Genomic DNA, 18021 nt, shown 5'->3' with positions numbered 1-18021 from the left:
CATCAATAATATGTAGCACTGTAACAAACCGTCAACTGCACACACATGAGTATCAGCAAAAGCACACCCTGAGGTCTGAAAGTTCCATGTGAATTTTAAATTCTGTTTTCACTTCAATGATAATACATCACTGAACTTAATCTAAAAACATTCTGCCTGTTCTAGATGACCACTGGATAACAGAGTTTTTCCATACAATTTCAGGGCCCTTGCTTTTGTGACGCTAATTGCATTAGCACTAAGTGAAGGCCAAATGACCCCACAGAGCACTTTTTAATTGAAGGTTTACAGTTGTACAGAGAAAGGAATTGAAAACTGAAACATCACGTAGAAGAACATCACATAGATACCTTAAATGCAAAACTCCTTGTGCTGTGTCTGTCAGTAGTCTGTTAAGTTGTGAGTGGATGCTATGATATCCACTTCTCAGTATAAGTAAGAGTAATAGATTCATGTGAAGAAATGTCATTCAGTTTTTTGGGCTGTAATGCCTATAATAATTATTAAAAACAATTATAGGTTGGGTGCAGTGGCTTACGCCTATAATCCCAACACTTTGGGAGGTCAAGGCAGACCAATTGCTTGAGGTCAGGAGTTTGATACCAGCCTGGTCAACATGGCAAAGCCCCATCTCTACTAAAATTACAAAAATTAGCAGGGTAGGATGGCACATGCCTGTAAACCCAGCTACGTTAAGAGGCTGAGGCATGAGAATCGCTTGAACCCAGGAGGCAGAGGTTACGGTGAGCCAAGATGGCGCCACTGCGCTCCAGCCTGGGTGATAGAGTGAGACTCTGTCTCAAACAAACAAACAAGAAATTATAAATATATATTTATATATTTAGCCCAGTTAGAATTTCTCCTGGTTTTATATATATACACATATATACACACACACACATATATATGTATATATATAAATTATATATATAAAATAAACCAGGAACACACACACATATATATAATTATATATATATAATCGCATATACATATAATCTTGTTATTTCAACAGCTTTTGGGGTACAAGTGGTTTTTGGTCATATGGATGAATTGTATAGTGGTGAAGTCAGATTTTAGTGCACTGGTCACCAAGGAGTGTACATTGTACCCAATATGTGATTTTTCATCCCTCACCCCTGCTCACTCGCCCCACTTCTGAGTATCCAGTGTCCATTATACCTCTCTGTATGCTTTTGTGTACCCATAGCTTAGCTCCCACTTAGAAGTCAGAATATATATTTGGTTTTCCATTTCTGAGTTACTTCACTTAGAATGATAGCCTCTAACTCCATCCAAGTTGCTGCAAAAGACATCATTTTGTTTATTTTTTATGGCTGAGTAGTATTCCATGGTGTATATATAACACATTTTCATTATCCACTTATCAATTGATGGTCCATTATCTTTGCAATTGTGAATTGTGCTGCCATAAACATATACATGCAGGTGTCTTTTCAATATCACTACTTCTTTTCCTTTGGGTAGATACCCAGTAGTAGGACTGCTGGATTGAATGGTAGATTTACTTTTAGTTCTTTGAGAAATAGCCATAATGCTTTTCATAGAGGGCTGTGCTAATGATGGCGCCTGCAGCCCATCTGGGGCAGCCGCTGCCATTACGCTGGCTGCAACAGCGAAGCTCAGCCAGGGCTGCACACTCCGTGGAGCTGGCAACAAGTGGGAATCACAACACTTCCGAGCTGATGGGGAGGGAATTCCCCAGGTGCAGCCACAACAGCCCAAGTCATGGCTGCAGACTCGGGCCTCCCACTCCACAGAGCAGGAAGGAGCCCCACCCCCTCGGGCACAGCTGCAGCCACCAAACCCAGACTGCACAGTCGGGCATCTCTGCACTGTCGGGGCATGGGAAGGCCTCCCCTGAGAGGAGGAGAATCTCTTGAACCCGGAGGCGGAGGTTGCTGTGGGTCAAGATCGCGCCACTGCGCTCCTGCCTGGGCAACAAAGGCGAAACTCCGTCTCAAAAAAAAAAAAAAAATTTTTGAAGTAGGGACTATTATTATTCCTATTTTACAGATAATGAAACTGAAGTCTTCAAGGAGATTATATAATTTGCCTATGTTTACACAGCTACCACGTAGAAAATGTGGGATGCTACGCAGTCTAACAGCTTTCATTTTCAACCGCATGTGATACTGATTCCTGCTGTGAAAGAAAGAATGGTAATTTCTTGGAGTTACAGTTCAGGGAACTATAACAGTGGGCCCTGACACAGTATGGTGCGGGGAGAGGGTCCAAGAAGGCTTTTCCTGAGGAAATGAGGTTTCAGCAGAGAAATGAAGGGGAAAAAAGGAGTTAACTAGGCATGTGGAAGTTGGAGGAGCTTTGTATGTAGAGGAAACCGCATGCAGGGCGGGCCTGGGTTGGAAAGCAGCATTATGCTCTTGAAGAAGTGAAAGTTCATTCCACGGGCTGTTGTTCACTTCATGGTGGCGAGGCTGGAAGTGATGATGACTGTGTGTGCCATGGGGAGAGAAATGAACTGATGTGGGTCAGTGCATTTCTGCTCTGACTACCCGGGGGCCCATCACTACAGCAGTGGCCTTATTTTTCCTATTAAGTCTCTTTCAGTTTGAGTTCAAGATCACTAGCATATTATCCTTTTCTCAGCCCTGTGTCTGCCTTCTCATTAGTATTTGGATGAAGATGAAACTCCTTAAAATCCCTCCGAGTGCTGCGTGGGCTGGAGGCTTCTGCTCTCCGCTGTCCTTTTCACCCTGCTCCCTCCTACTCTCTGTGCTCCCAGCTTCTCACTACGCTGAATATTTTTTTTCAGTCCTTTATGCTCCTTTTGTCTCCTTTTGTCTGAGTGATTGTCCTTTCCCTCTTTGCTTGTTCATGTATTCAAAAATTATTTTCTAGCACCTGCTATGTGTTAGGCACTGTTGTAGGCACTGGAGTTACAACTAAAATTCAAGACATGTATGGAGGGGTTGGGTTGGGAAGGGCAGACAGAGAAAAAAGAGGAAGTAAACAAGAAGAAATAGCAGCTCATGATGACATCATGCAGAGAATTAAAGTCAAAAGATCTGATGGAGAGAAACTAGGTGTAGGTTGGATTGGGTGGTTAGGGAAGACCTTTCTAAAGATGTAATATTTAAGCTTGAGATCTGGATAACGAAAGGAGACAGACAGACAAAAGTAACAAGGAAAAATATGTCAGAAAGAGAGAACTACAAGCTCAAAGGCCATTAGCTGGGAATAAGCATGGAATGTTTGAAGAACTGAAAGAAGGATTGTGTGACCAGAGTGGAGTTAGGGGTGGGGCTCGGGGTGGGAGTGGAAATAGTAACAGTTGAGTCAAAAGTTATGAATGTCGGGTGTCGTAGGGCTGTGTGAGTCAGTGGGAGGAGTTTAGATTTTATTCCAGTTACCACTGGAGGGATTTTAGAAGAGCGACAGGATAGGATTTACCTTTTAGCTGAGATTTACCTTTTGGCTGCTAAGTGGAGAATGAAGTCTTGGTGGAAACACTGAAATAGTTCACGAGAGAGGGGATGTTGATGTCTTGGCCCTGGGTAGTGGTGTGAAAGTGGTGGATTTTGCATACTATAAGGGAGGAGCAGGCAGTGTTAACTGACAAACTGCTTTGGGGTAGGGGGAGTGAGGGAAAGAGGAAAATCGGAAAGAATTCCTAAACCTTTGTTTTGATCAATTGGAGGGACGGTGGTGCCACTTACTAAAACAGAAAGGCTATGAGAAGGGTTGATGTTTGGTGTGAGCAGGACTGAGAATTCTGCTTTGAACATGCCAAGGTGAGATGCCTGTGTGCCATCCAAGTGAACTCTCAGGTCTGAAGTTTTGAGGAGAGAAAGGACTAAATGTGTACGTGTGAGAGAAATCGTCACATACATGGTGCTCAAAGCCATGGAGAGATGTGTGGGTAGGGAAGAAATGAGGGCCCATCTGGTTCACTGCTGCCCAGTGTTCCCCAGTGTTTCCCCCTCTGGTGTCTCCTTCCTCACTGGTGCCTTCCTGATCCCCTGCTTAGAAAAATCCCTGTTGTAAACACTTATAACCATTGTGTACCCTCCTTCACAACTCTCAACACAGTTGAAATCTCCATGTATTTGCGTAATCAGTAATGCAATGATAATGTGACTAGGTGATAGATCCGTGAGCGTAGAGACTCTGCTTTTGTTCATCATGTGAAGAAAGATCACCCAAAACTTAGAAATAAGGAAAGAAGGATGACTGCGTGTTCTGTCCATGTCATAGAGCATTGGGTAATAAGCCTGTCCATGGGTCAACTGGTTTTCATTTGATGTACTTTTTACCTTAATAAAGGGCCAGACTCTGTAAAGTTAAGGTTGAACTTGTAGGAAACTGATAATATGTAAATGATTTTTGTCTAGTAGACAGAATTATTACCCCCAAAGTTATGATTTTACTATACTGTAGAAATTGACTGTTTTTTAATCCAATTTAGAAATCTTATTCCAGCACTTTTTTGGTTAAACTGACTCTCTTCTTCTATCTCTCTCTCCTTTTCTACATGTACATATGTATTCATATATGTATATATAGCATATATTTTTTTTACCCCATATCTTTCTTTGAATCGGCTTGATTATCTTGATGAATCCCTCATGAATGACTCAAATACAACTTTGACATTTGCTCTCTGTGTTTTTCATGAGAATTATGTTTTTAACATTTTGAAAATTGTACACTGACAGGTATTCTCATGGTCTCCCAGCATTTTACACAGTAAAGCCCCTGATGCAGAGTCTATACTCAATACCTATTTCCTAAATGAAAGAATAAACTGGCCTAGGACCTAATGAATATAACTAAGGTTTATGAGGCCAACTCTTATCTCTACTAAGTGTTTGGAAAAATACATGGTAATAAGGCTCTGAGAAAGGGCCCATGCAGGTCACCCATCAAGTACCTCTGCAATGTCTAACTCCTCCAAGAGTGATTATCCTTGTCAAGGCAACAATCTTCAGAGGGCACTGCTTAGCTTAGCAACAGAATCTTCAATATAATTTTTTATAATGCCTATTGCAAACAAGTGACCCAGGTATGGATTTGATCTGGGACTCCTTAAAGACCACAAAATTATTAGTTAAGAATGACTTAATCCACAATATGGGAGAAACAACATTCACTTTACTAAGTTGTTAACCTAAGCATAAATCTATACATATGATATAAAAGAAATATATAGTGTTCCAGTATTAAATTTCATTTCCTCGTTTTTAAGAAATTAGTGAATTCTTATTCAGGTGTAGCTCAGGGCAAAACGTCTGTCTTGGTATGTCCTAGAGTCTCTTTTTTCTCTCCTCTTTCCTTTTCCCTCTCATCTCTCTCACCTTGTTCATGTTTTGAATATTCTCCCCTCTTTCCTTTCCCCTCTCATCTCTCTCACCTTGTTCATGTTTTTAATAGTCCATTGATCCCATTCTTTGTTTTAATTATTGATCCATATATTACTTGTTGTCTTAATATATACGGATCCATATATTACTTATTGTTTTAATATATGGATCCATATATTACTATTGCTTTTTTTTCTTTTTTTGAGAGTGAGTCTCGCTCTGTCGCCCAGGCCGGAGCACGATCTCGGCTCACTGCAACCTCCGCCTCCCGGGTTCAAGCAATTCTCTGCCTCAGCCTCCTGAGTAGCTGGGATTACAAGCACCCACCACCACACCTGGCTAATTTTTGTATTTTGAGTAGAGATGGGGTTACACCATCCTGGTCAAGCTGGTCTTGAACTCCTGACCTCGTGATCCACCCACCTCAGCTTCCTAAAGTGCTGGGATTAAAGGCGTGAGCCACTGTGCCTGGCCACTATTACTTTATTCTATCAGTGGCTTTATATAAAATGCAGAAAATTCTTTATCTATTTGCAACTGCTGAAAGTACTGAATTTAAGTGTATCAACATCATTTCTGTAGTTTCAACCGCTAAGCTGTTGCTAAAAGTCTGAAATTCTAAAGGAAGAGTTCACCTTCAAATAGCAGAACACAAGCTGCAGCTGTTGCTTATTTCTCTCTCTTTTTAAACAACTGGAAGAACTACCTCCTCTAATTTTCATTTTGTATTCACTACTTCTACTTGTCATTCGTAAATCACTTCAGAAACAACGTGTCCTAGTGTTGCCTCTCTGCTACACCTGCTCCTCCTCTTGCCCTTCTCTGTTCTGTACTGTAGAAAGAAGAGGTTGTTGGTTACCTCCATGGCTTTTGTTGACAGAGAGTGACATTCAGGTGAGTTCAGCTTGAAAATGCATCTCTCATTGCTTAAAGATGTGAACTCTTACAGAAAATTCATTTTCTATACCTTCTAGTGATAGCGGTTCAGGGACTTGGTATTTAATCATCTATGCTCATGTGAGATGCCCTTAGTCATGGTCATTCATTTGATTGTGTGGGAGCCTTTTTCATTTATCTCAGAATCTTTGGCTGTTTTATCAGCTCATTTACCTCTGTGCAGCTGAAGCAGTATGTTATATATTTCTGGATGATACGGCATAAGGGCATGGACAAGAGGAAAGTTGCCTAGAGAGGATAAGTTAATAAACTGGGTTGTAAATGAAGATGGTATAAGAAGGAATGTTGGTGCAGAAGAATAAGGAGCATTTAAAAAAATTATAGTCTAGGCAAAGATGCAAGGACAACATGTCTATTCTTCATTGGTTCAACACATATGGATTGACCACTTCCTACAAGTTTGGCATCTGTTCAAGGTAATGGGGAATAAAGATCAATAATGTACCATTCTAGGCAAATTCATAAGGATAGAAAGTAGATTAGAGATTACCAGGGTGTTGGGGAAGAGGGGAATAGGGAATTATTGCTTAATGGTTACAGAGTTTTTGTTTGGGGTCATGAAAAAGTTTGGAAATAGATAGAGAAGGTGGTTGCACAACATTGTAAATGGAATTAATGTCACGGAATTGTACACTTAAAATGAACAAACGACAAATTTTATTATATATAATCACAATTTATAAAAAGTAATAATGTTATATGCACAAAACCACTGAATTATACAAATGAGTGCTTTATAGGGTATGTGAATTTTACCTCAATTAAAGTTGTTAAAAAATTAAGACACTATTTTTGCTTTACAAGAGTTCATGTCTAATGGAGAAAATCAATCTATACACAAATTATAGGTATTACTAAAGGACAAGCTATCAAAAGTTGATGGTTAAGAGAACATATAGAGAGTCATATTGTTTCAGTTGAATCCCTTCTCTGTGTCACTAACCCTATAACCTTGAACAATTCCCTTTTTATCTTTGAGCCTCGCCTTGCTTACCAACAAAATGGGTCCAGTATTAGTGTATACTTCATAGAGCTATTGTTATAATTCCATGATGTAATCTGCATATGTATATTAAACATAGTAGAAATGTAGTATATTTTAGATAAAATTTTGATAAACGCAGTTATAGCGAATATGCATTTCAAAGCTAAAAGCATTGCGTAGATAGACTCATACATGTTATGCATATGCACTGTGCATTTGGAGGGGAGAGCTTCGAAGTGATTATTGTTCAAATGACAGTCATTAGTATGTAGTGCCAGTCAGTATATCATCGATGAGTAATTTTGATATAGAAAAATTAAAATAATATTGTCATCACAAAATTCAGTAACAAATAGTCTCCCATAAAGAGGGGAAAAAAGTTTCACAGACACTAGTGTAAATCACTAGTGTAAAAAACTAGTGTTGATTTACAGTATTTTATTTTTATCATAAGGTTACTTAAATATCTACAAATATAAAATAAGCATAAACTCTTTATACTTATACAACAATATAACGTACACCAATTTATAAAATAAATATGTCAAACTCTACTCAGCTAATAAAGTTCAAATCAGAGGCATTACTTTAATGTGATGGATAATATTGTTTTGCTGATATTAAACTACTAATCTTTTTTTTTTTTTCTTTTTTTTGAGACAGAGTCTCACTCTGTCACCCAGGCTGGAGTGCAGTGGCGTGATCTTGGCTGATTGCAAGCTCCGCCTCCCGGGTTCATGCCATCCTCCTGCCTCAGCCTCCCAAGTAGCTGGGACTACAGGTGAACACAGCCACGCCCGGCTAATTTTTTGTATTTTCAGTAGAGACGGGGTTTCCCCGTGTTAGCCAGGATGGTCTGGATCTCCTGACCTTGTGATCTGCCCCCCTTAGGCTCCCAAAGTGCTGGGTAAACTACTAATCTTAAAGTTAAGAGTGGAAAAATAAATTTTGAGTTTTATATTTTAATTGTGGCATTGGTTCTCTTATATTTGAGCATAATGGGCCATAGGATTAATCATCATTACATCATTCACCGCCTTTCTGTTTCAAAAATATACTAGCTTTTCTCTTCTGGACATTGGCGTAGGCAAAGAATTTATGACTAAGACCTCAAAAGCAAATGCAACAAAATCAAAAGTAAATAAATGGGACCTAATTAAACTAAAAATCTTCTGCACAGCAAAAGAAATAATCAAAAGAGTAAACAGACAACTCATGGAGAGGGAGAAAATACAAACTATGTATCTGACAAAGGTCTAATATCCAGCTTCTACAAGGAACTCAAACAAATCAGCCAGAAAAAAAAATAATAATCCCATCAAAAAGTGGGCAAATGGCATGAATAGACACTTCTCAAAAGAAGATACATACAAATGACAAAGAAACATGAAAAAAAATGCTCATCAGGGAAATGCAAATTAAAACCACAAGATACCACCACCTTATCCCAGCCAGAATGGCCATTATTAAAAAGTCAAAAAACAAGAGATCTTGGCATGGATATGGTGAAAAGGGAATGCTTATGCACTGCTGGTGGGAATGTAAATTACTGTTACGAGATCTTTGGGGTGTCACTTTTCTGGCTAGAAACCTGTGGCCAGTGACGCCTTTGCCCGAGTTTTACTCAGGCCCGCTGGGCTTGTTCCTCTGTTTTGGCCTGGCAGGCTGCACTCAGCTCATGCTACCAGCCTGGATCCCATGTCTCCAAGGGAGACTGAGAGTCAGGCATGGAGCAGCGAGGGGTGTGTGAGTGAGCGAGGGGTGTGTGAGGGAGCATGGGGTCCAGTCACTGTGTAGTCAGACACGCCTGCTGCTGCCACAGGGTAGGCAGCTCCAGGTGCCAGCATGGGCACCAGCTGTCTGTGAGGCTGTGGCTGACCAGGCACACTGGAAGCAGCTTCTCCAGCTGGCACCAGGGAATGCAGTGGTGCCTGGAAGCTTGGAGATGCCAGGAACTGCAGGGCCCCAAAGAGGGAGTCATAGCCCTGACTCAGGGAGCTCCCAGGTCTGGGCTCCCTGAAGGGCTGCAGCTTTTCTCTCCTTCTCTTCACCCACAACGTGGTGAGCAAGGGGCATGTTTCAGCCACGTTTGTGTTACAGCTCTTTTAGCCTCGCCATTTGGTGGGTCCTGAGTTCTTGTCCTGCAACCAGGAAGAATGAGGTATGCAAACATGTGGAAGGTGAGCAAGATGAAGAGAAGCTTTATTGAGCAATAGAACAGCTCAGAGAAGACCCACACTGGGCAGCTCCTCTCTGTAGTCAGGGTGTCCTGACAAGAGTTCAGCTCCTAGCAGAGACAGTAGCTCCTCTCTGCAGGCAGGTCATCCCAACAAGCGTTCAGTTCAGTGTTCTTGTATTTTTAGTAGAGACAGAGTTTCTCCATGTTGGTCAGGCTGGTCTCAAACTCCCGACCTCAGGTGATCCACCCGCCTCAGCCTCTCAAAGTGCTGGGATTACAGGCGCAAGCCACCACACCCGGCTACCTGGCTACTTCAATTTTAAGAATATTAAATAACACGCGCAAAATGCTTAGCACAATCCCTAGCAGGCAGTTATGCATTCAGTAAACGTTAGCTACCATCATCATTATATTATGATTTGTAATGATATATTTATTCATTTGACTAAGTAATGATGCCTCTCACTTCCACCAGACTGGAGTCTCCATTAGGGAAGGAACAATGAAGTCCTTACTCCAGCAGGGTAGAGTGCCTGGCTCAAGTAAGATCTCAATTAATATTAGTTGAATGAACAGATTTACAGTCTCTTCTTGAATGCAAAATTAATTGCCATGTAATATTCCTTTGCTGGGCTGTATCTAGCAACACTGAAGTCTGGCATGGCAAGATGCATATTGCAGTTGTGACTTAAGATGACAATTGTCTGAGTCTGTTCCAGCTGCTATAAAATTACAAGAAATTTAGAAGGCCCGGCACGGTGGCTCACGCCTGTAATCCCAGCACTTTGGGAGATTGAACCAGGAGGACTGCTTGAAGCCAAGAGTTGGAGACCAGCCTAGGCAACAAAGCAAGATGCCATGTCTACAAAAAATGTTTGAAAAATTAGCCAGATGTGGTGATATGCACCAGGAGCATGGTATGCACCAGCTTACTTAGGAAGCTGAGGAGGGAGGATTGCTTGAGTCCAGGAGTTTGGAGGCTGCAGTGAGCTATGATAACACCACTGCACTCCAGCCTGGGTGACAGAGAGAGATATCTGTAAAAAATAGTAAGTAAATAAATAAATAAAATTTAGAAAATATTTCTAACAAGCATTACTATGAAAGAAGATTTGGTGCTGGAATAGATGTGTTCATTCAAATTAATTTTATTGAGTGTCTAATATGTTCAGTACGCCTAGGAAGAATACTAGGCACTGGGGATGCAGCAAGAAATCAAACAAATCAAAACCCCTAACCGAATAGAGTTTTAATTCTAGTGGATAAGACTCTTGTATAATTGTTTCTCAAGTGTCAGATACATAGATTTCTTTGTACCCCATGCTTTTCCTTTTAATTTGCAGTCATCTGAGCACCTTTGTGAGTCTAAACTAAGCCATTTGTAAATCAATCCATGTGTCCTTCTTCTGTTAGCCCACAGGTCAAGACTTCAATTCTTTCCACAGTCACCCAGCAGTACCCAGCTCACTACTTAGAGCCCTTAGCACTCACAGGCAATCTGAACCTCGAACAATATGCTGCGCAGGCTCCATGACAAAAGAAAAAGAGAGCTCATGTTCCACCAAGTTGGATCTAGGACTAGGAAATCTAGAGGCCATCTGGATCAAGTGAGGAAACCCTGTGGAGAAACCAGTCTCCAGCAAAATGGGAAATTTACATTACTACCCCTTCTTATTCTTTTTTTTTTTTTTTTTTTTTTTTTGAGACAGGGTCTCAGTCTGTCTCTCAGGCTTAAGTGCAGTGGGCGCAATCATGATCACTGCAGCCTCAACCTCCCAGGTTCAGGCAATCCTCTGACCTTAGCCCCCCAAGTAGCTGGGACTACACATGTGTGTCGACACCCCCGGCCCCTTCTTATTCTTTTAACCTCCTCAGCAGGGCTCTCGTTGAAGTGACAGATGTCCATCTTTGCCTTTGCATAGCTGTCTCTGCTTTGGAATTGCCCCTAGTTTTGTTCTTAGGCTCTGATGAGGACTCTGGGTGAGAACGTTGGCCTTGTTTTTTCAGGTCCATGGATCTCTCAGCTTGAAGTCAAGGTCTCACTTTCTTCTTACAGACCTGCCCCTTCCCCTTTCCAGCTGGCAAAGAAGCAGGCTGCTCCTGCCAGGTTTCAGAAACCATGGTCATTTGATGGTGCAAGAAGTCAGACTGTTTTTCTACAAGCGGCAGAAAGCTCTGGGGATCCTGCCTAGGGGGAGCTCGGCCAAAACATTGGGTTAGGAGGGGGTGGGAGGGGTAATCCGTTTGATCCAACGTCAGATCCCACCACTGACTCCCTTGAACAAGGGCTATCAAATGAGGCCTTCTCCCAGCAAGCTGTATGAAATTGGAGATTCCACTTACCTTCTGCCTCTTAAAATTAGACAAGCCCTCCACACAGCAAGAGAATAAGTGGCAAGCATGTGGACAGCTCTTTCTGAGCTGGATGATTTAGTGAAGCAGCTGTGGGGGACACAGGAGGGGAGATTTGGAAGAAGGACGCAGTGGGCTGAGGGAGGACTATTCACCCCCTATTTGCAATGCTGGTAAGAGCAATATTGGTTGGGAGGTGGAGAGAGGAGAGCTTGCTGTTTGAGCTCTTTGCCATGGAGTCAGTGGGGAGCCTTTGAAGACAGGTTCCCCCACCCCATTTCCCACTTGGGGCCTGGGGAGGGACTTAGGTTAATACAATGATCTGGGAACAGTCAAAATCCAGTTGCTGTTTGGCTCTGCACTTCCAGGGAAATGTGAGCTGTCTGTTTCTCATTACTTTGCCCTTATCACATCAGGCTGTTCTTGTGGGGAAGCAGTTTCATTTCCAAGAAACCTGTTTTGCTTCTCCTCCCTTGAAGTCCTCCAGGCTCTTGCCTCCTCCCTCTTCCCTGCCCCTCCCTCATCATCTCACCCCTTACTCCATCTGCTTGTGACCAACTTCTTTCCCATCTAGGAACTAAGCTACTACCTGCCCCCCACTAACGCTAGACCTAGAAAATAAAAAAGATTAAAGCTTGGTCAGTGACTGCAGCAGATGGCAAAATATAACTCCTCTTCCTTTGTGTTTCTAAGTTATTACTTTCTTGCCTATGGTGTTAAAGGGACTGTGAACCTCAGCCCATTTTGTGGTCATAAATCAGCAACTTGGAGGAAGTACCTGGTATGTTTGCAGGTAGGACTCCTTGTAAAAAAACACCTGGTGGCCCACAATCTGAAAGGCAGGACAAAGCAAATCATGTGGGTAAGTCCAGCCACCATGCTCCAACACCATCTCCTTCAGGACACTAATGAGTATGGACAGTGAAGTCCTCTATTGTCGCACATGCTCCATGAGGACCTGGGGATGTTCTCAGCCAGCAAGGACCAGCGGGATGGCTGCTTCTTCCTCAAGCATCCCTCAGTGAGACCTCAGGGAGCCCCAAGTGCCTCTCTCCAAGTTCCTATGACATGCATTTGCCTTTATTCTTACTTCCTTCTTTCTGTCTCCCTCACATTTTATCTACCCCTGTCTTTCTTCTGTCATCCCCATCTTGTACAAAAAAAAAATGAAAGAATGAATAAGACCTACTATTTGATAGCACAATAGGGTGACTATAATCAATAATAACAATTGTACCTTTTAAAATAACTTAAAGAGTGTAACTGGATTGTTTGTAACTCAAAGGATAAATGCTTGAGGGGACTGACTATAGTCAATAACAACAATTGTACTTTTTAAAATAACTTAAAGAGTTAATTGGATTGTTTGTAACTCAAAGGATAAATACTTGAGGGGATGGATACCCCATTCTCCATGATGTGATTTTTTCGCATTGCATGCCTCTATCAAAACATCTCATGTACCCTATAAATATATACACCTACTATGTATCCACAAATTTTTTTTAATGAAAATATCTTCCCTATCTTTTCCTAGAGTTTCACTCATGACTGTCATTGAAGGGTTTACTGAGTCCCGCATCACCCAGGGTCCACTGAGATCTCCCTGCTCTTCAGCTTTGGGGAAGATGGCCTCAATTCCACTCATGCTTAAGCCCTGCCCTGTGAAAATCCAAAGTCTTCCTCAAGTTGTCTGTGAATTCCTCAAGAGGTAGATCCTTTTGGTCTACTCTGACTCTCAACTACCGCTTCCACTGAGCTAACCAACCGTGTAGGTTATTGATTCTGTGCCTGCTATGCTATTTCTTTCTGTGCCAGAATCACCAAGGATAAGAACCTGACACTTCCCTCAGTTTAAAAAACAATTCTCACCAGGCCCTTGTATGTGAGTAGATGAAGAGGTTCACATTAGAGAATCTCACACATCTTCCAATTGCGTATAGATATCCCTTTTTGTGAAATGGTCCAACCACACTTGCAGATTTTTCATAGACTCCATGACCCCAGGAGCCCTAGCCTCACCCCCTTCTCTGCCCGCTCTTCCTCCTTCCATCTCTCTTCTTCACCAGCTTTGTGGAAAAGCCTTTGTAATGACAAAAGGGCCATCCATTTTAATGGGTCTATCTTCCTTACAAGGCTGTTGTAAATTTTAATTTTTTTAATTGTGAATTGACAAATTATGGTTGTATACATTTATTGGGTACAATTTTATTTTAAATTTTTTTTTAGACAGTTTCACTTTTTCTTTTTTTTTCTTTTTTTTTTTTAGACAGAATCTCACTCTGTCACCCAGGCTGGAGTGCAGTGGTATGATCCCGGCTCACTGCAACCTCCACCTCCTGGGTTCAAGCAATTCTCCTGACTCAGCCTCCCAAGTAGCTGGGATCACAGGCATGCACCACCACGCATGGCTAATTTTGTATTTTTAGTAGACATGGGGTTTCACCATGTTGGCCATGCTGGTCTCAAACTCCTGACCTCTGGTAATCTGCCCACCTCAGCTTCCCAAAGTGCTGGGATTACAGGTGTGAGCCACAGCGCCTGGCCTTTTTTACTTTAATTTTTGATTATAAAATATTTCAGGCATTTAGAAAAGTGCACTGGTATATTTTAAGAGTTGACACATTTAAATAAGATATAATGGATGATAAAATGTTGCTATTTTTATTTCATGTCTCTCTCTCTTCCCCACCCCCACTACCCCTCCTCCTCCAAAATAAAATGCTTTTCATACAGCTAAAGCCTGGAGCCATCCCTTTCCTTCCCTCCCACTCCCTTTAGGATTAACCAGTATCCAAAAGTTGTTGCATTATTCTCATGCATATTTTTGTACTTCCATTATATATGAATGTTTCCATAAACAACATACAGTATTGTTTGGGGTATTTTTAAATATTTGCTTAAATGGTATATCGTAGTGGATGCTGAGAATGAGCTTTATGAACAAGAACAACATTATCTTATTCTGGTTTCTATTTCTTCCAATCTCAGCCTTGACCCCAGTGGCCCAGCATCTTCTAGGTACCCAATACATACCTTCTAAATAAATTGCATTACAAAATAGCCTCCAAACCATCAATAATAATAAAGCATGCCAAGTTAAGAAGTGACCCAAGATAGGTGGTCATTTATACACTTTTTAATTTTTGGCCTAAGAAATTTCAATAACTATGAGTAACTGTTCCAACGTAGGTACATTCTTCCTGAGATTAAGCGGGGGCTTTATAAATGCCTCACTAAGGAGCCTTCTATCACCAAGGTGCAATGTGTCTCCCTTTACATGACCCTAATTCAATGAGATCCCCCGAGACTGAAGTTCTTAGCCCATATCCTCCTATTCCCCAAACTGCTGCCTTCATGGATGAGTACAGCCCCTCCTCTTCTCCTACCCAGAGTTCATCCCCTCAAATGCCAAGAAGACTACTTGATGTTACTATCTCTGGATAGCAGTCAAGGACACCCGCAGTCATTCAGTAATGGGTAGGGCTCACATCCCTACGGCATTATTTATTCATCCAGACTGTGAAGAAGCAGAATCCTTCAGATTCTTGGCTGCAACTCCCTGTGAGACAGAAACCTCACCCAAGGCAATGGTGCTGGCAGCTGCTCTAACCTCTCATTACTCTGACCTTCAGTAGGGAAACCATATAATTCATCTTCTAAACTCTTACAACTTGGGAGTAAAGATGGTGCCATTAATAATTATGCCAGGCTAATAGACATAAATAAAGACCCCTTTTGGCAAACCAGGTTGTATGATCACCCTAAATCAGCAATCCTGTGTAAAGCCAAGCACAGTATCCCTTCTTATAAGGTGCTTCAAGTGATATACTATCCAGAGCCTCAGGAAATAATCCCCTCAGTCCCTCTTCCAGGATATGTCTAATGATGGATGAGTCCGTTCTCTTACAGCAGCATGTGAAGACCTAATCTTAATATTGTTAAGTTTGGGGAGAAGAGACAGCTTTTTCGCAGAGAGTAATTAAACTCATTTTCCATTTCTTTTTTTTTTTTCTCCACTAGGATGAAATTAGAGCCTACTATTCCCTCCTAGTTCTCTGAAAGTTTGCAGAGAAATGACAACGTATGTCAGACATGTATAAATCAGAGGAGAAAAAAAATAAGACCAGTGGATCAAAACTGTGGCTCTAAAGCAGAGTTTATTTGGCATCAACAGTAATGTTTACTGGGTGACCATATGGTTTCATGAATAAGAATTTTAGCATTAGATAAATTTGTGTTTGAGTTTCAGTTTCACCAGTATCTTCATAAGGCCCTAGACAAGTTACTTCTCTAAATAACTAGACTGCAAGAGTGGTGTTATTCCCACCCCCATTTTACAGATAAATTGATAACTCATTTTACAGATAGATCTATCTGTAAAATGAGGGTGGGGATAATATCAATCTCACAGTCTAGTTAGAAATTTTTCAGTGAGATAATAAATTCAAAGCCCCAAGGACAGTGCCTGGCACATTTTAGGTGCCTGGCAAATATGAGCTATAATTATTACTCATACTATTTAAATCTGCATTGTATTTTTTTCAGCATTTTCTCTACTTCCACACATACTCTTTCTGTCCCATCAAACTGGCCATTTAACTTTTCCAAAAACTGCCTTGTGTTTGCCACCTCTTCATTTTTGTTGCTGGCCTGCCTCTCACCTGGAACACTCGCCTCTTTCCTCTCTATTCTTATTCTTTTGGTGCAGTATAGCCCCATCTTACCCCTTTTCCACAGCCTACTTCAACTGCCACATCCTCCAGGCAGCCTTCTGAAAGGTGAATTCTCCATCCCTGAATTCATTGTTTTCTTATCACTTTCCACCATGCATTATAGGAGATTAGTACTTTCCCAGTACACTGTGAATTTGTCAAGGGTATATACTATGTCTGATTAAGATTTCTCTTCCCCATGGTGTTTATCATATTACCTTGAAAAATGTGCTCAAAGGATATCTCTTGACCATAGTAGAGCTTAGAACATAGTGGTTAACAGCTGGAGTCAGACAGACCTGAGTCTCAATCATAACTTCTTTTTTTTTTTTTTTTTTTTTTTTTGAGACAGAGTTTCGCCCTGTTGTCCAGGCTGGAATGCAATGGCAAGATCTCGGCTCACTGCAACTTCTGCTTCCCGGTTTCAAGCGATTCTCCTGCCTCAGCCTCCTGAGTACCTGAAATTACAGGCATGCACCATCACATCAGGCTAATTTTTTGTATCTTTAGTAGAGGCAGGGTTTCACCATGTTGGCCAGGCTGGTCTCAAACTCCTGACCTCGTGATCCGCCCTCCTCAGCGTCCCAAAGTGCTGGAATTACAGGCGGGAGTCACCACGCCTGGCCAATCATAACTTCTAATTGCATAATGTAAAGCAAATATTTAACCTCTTCAAATCTTGATGCTCCCCTCTACAAAATGGGCACACGGCTGCACAGGTAGAGTTGAGACCCTTGGTTTACACTTGAGCAACTAGTGAACATTCAGGAGATCAGAGCCTTCTGCTGCATTTGTTAGTTTAGTCACTGTTATCATGAAGTTTCATTATCGTCAGTAATACCCTTTCAGAATGATGCATACCTATTCCCAAAGTGTTTTTAGATCTTTTATTTTGTTGTTCAAGTCAGTTGCAGTAAATGCCAGAGACTTGCATAACAAAGAGCTCTCCTACATCTTTCACTCAGGGCCAAATCTGACATCTCACAAGCTCTCACTGCATCTCACAAGTTGCAACAACTGCAGAATTCATGTGTTTTCATGTTTTTCACAATGAGCACTATGACCATTAATCTCACAAATTGTGTCAGCTCTTAAACTCAAGAACACATAGAGATTTTCTCTTATCTGTCACAATACATACAAAAACTGAATCCTGATTTTGGCCATTCACAAATATCTCCCTTCTGGATCCACATTATGAATCATTTCTTTTGTGACCGATTGGTTCATTTCTTCGCCCCTGACTGCTGGTTCCCATGCATAACTCACTCATTCCTACCTCTGAGCTGTTTAACAGGCCATCCATCCACCTTTACCACTCAAATTTAACAGTGTGCTGTAGTGCTTGAGGATGGGCTCTAGAGCTTAACAGAACCAGATTCCACTCCTGGCTGCATCGTTGACTGGATGGAAATGTTGGACAATGCACTTACCCTTTCTGAGCTTTAATTTTCTCATCTGTCAAATGTAACTGGATAAGAGTGACTTCAG

At 41.4% G+C, this 18021-nt stretch overlaps 2 annotated features.

The window, feature by feature from the left end:
• Positions 2418 to 3617: an enhancer, noted in NCBI's record as "MED14-independent group 3 enhancer chr17:53653375-53654574 (GRCh37/hg19 assembly coordinates)". NCBI's record gives its function as "activates an origin of replication core promoter dependent on BRD2, BRD4, P300/CBP and CDK7 cofactors, and independent of MED14, by STARR-seq in HCT116 cells {active_cell/tissue: HCT116}" and the evidence as "EXISTENCE:reporter gene assay evidence [ECO:0000049][PMID:35650434]".
• Positions 2669 to 2738: an enhancer, noted in NCBI's record as "active region_12416". NCBI's record gives its function as "activates an Ori minimal core promoter by ATAC-STARR-seq in GM12878 lymphoblastoid cells {active_cell/tissue: GM12878}" and the evidence as "EXISTENCE:reporter gene assay evidence [ECO:0000049][PMID:35858748]".

This window comes from Homo sapiens, chromosome 17, assembly GCF_000001405.40.
Source record: "Homo sapiens chromosome 17, GRCh38.p14 Primary Assembly".
NCBI classification, from domain to species: domain Eukaryota; kingdom Metazoa; phylum Chordata; class Mammalia; order Primates; family Hominidae; genus Homo; species Homo sapiens.
The sequence above is the reverse complement of the archived record's forward strand: the minus strand, read 5'-3'. Positions and strand labels throughout refer to the sequence as shown.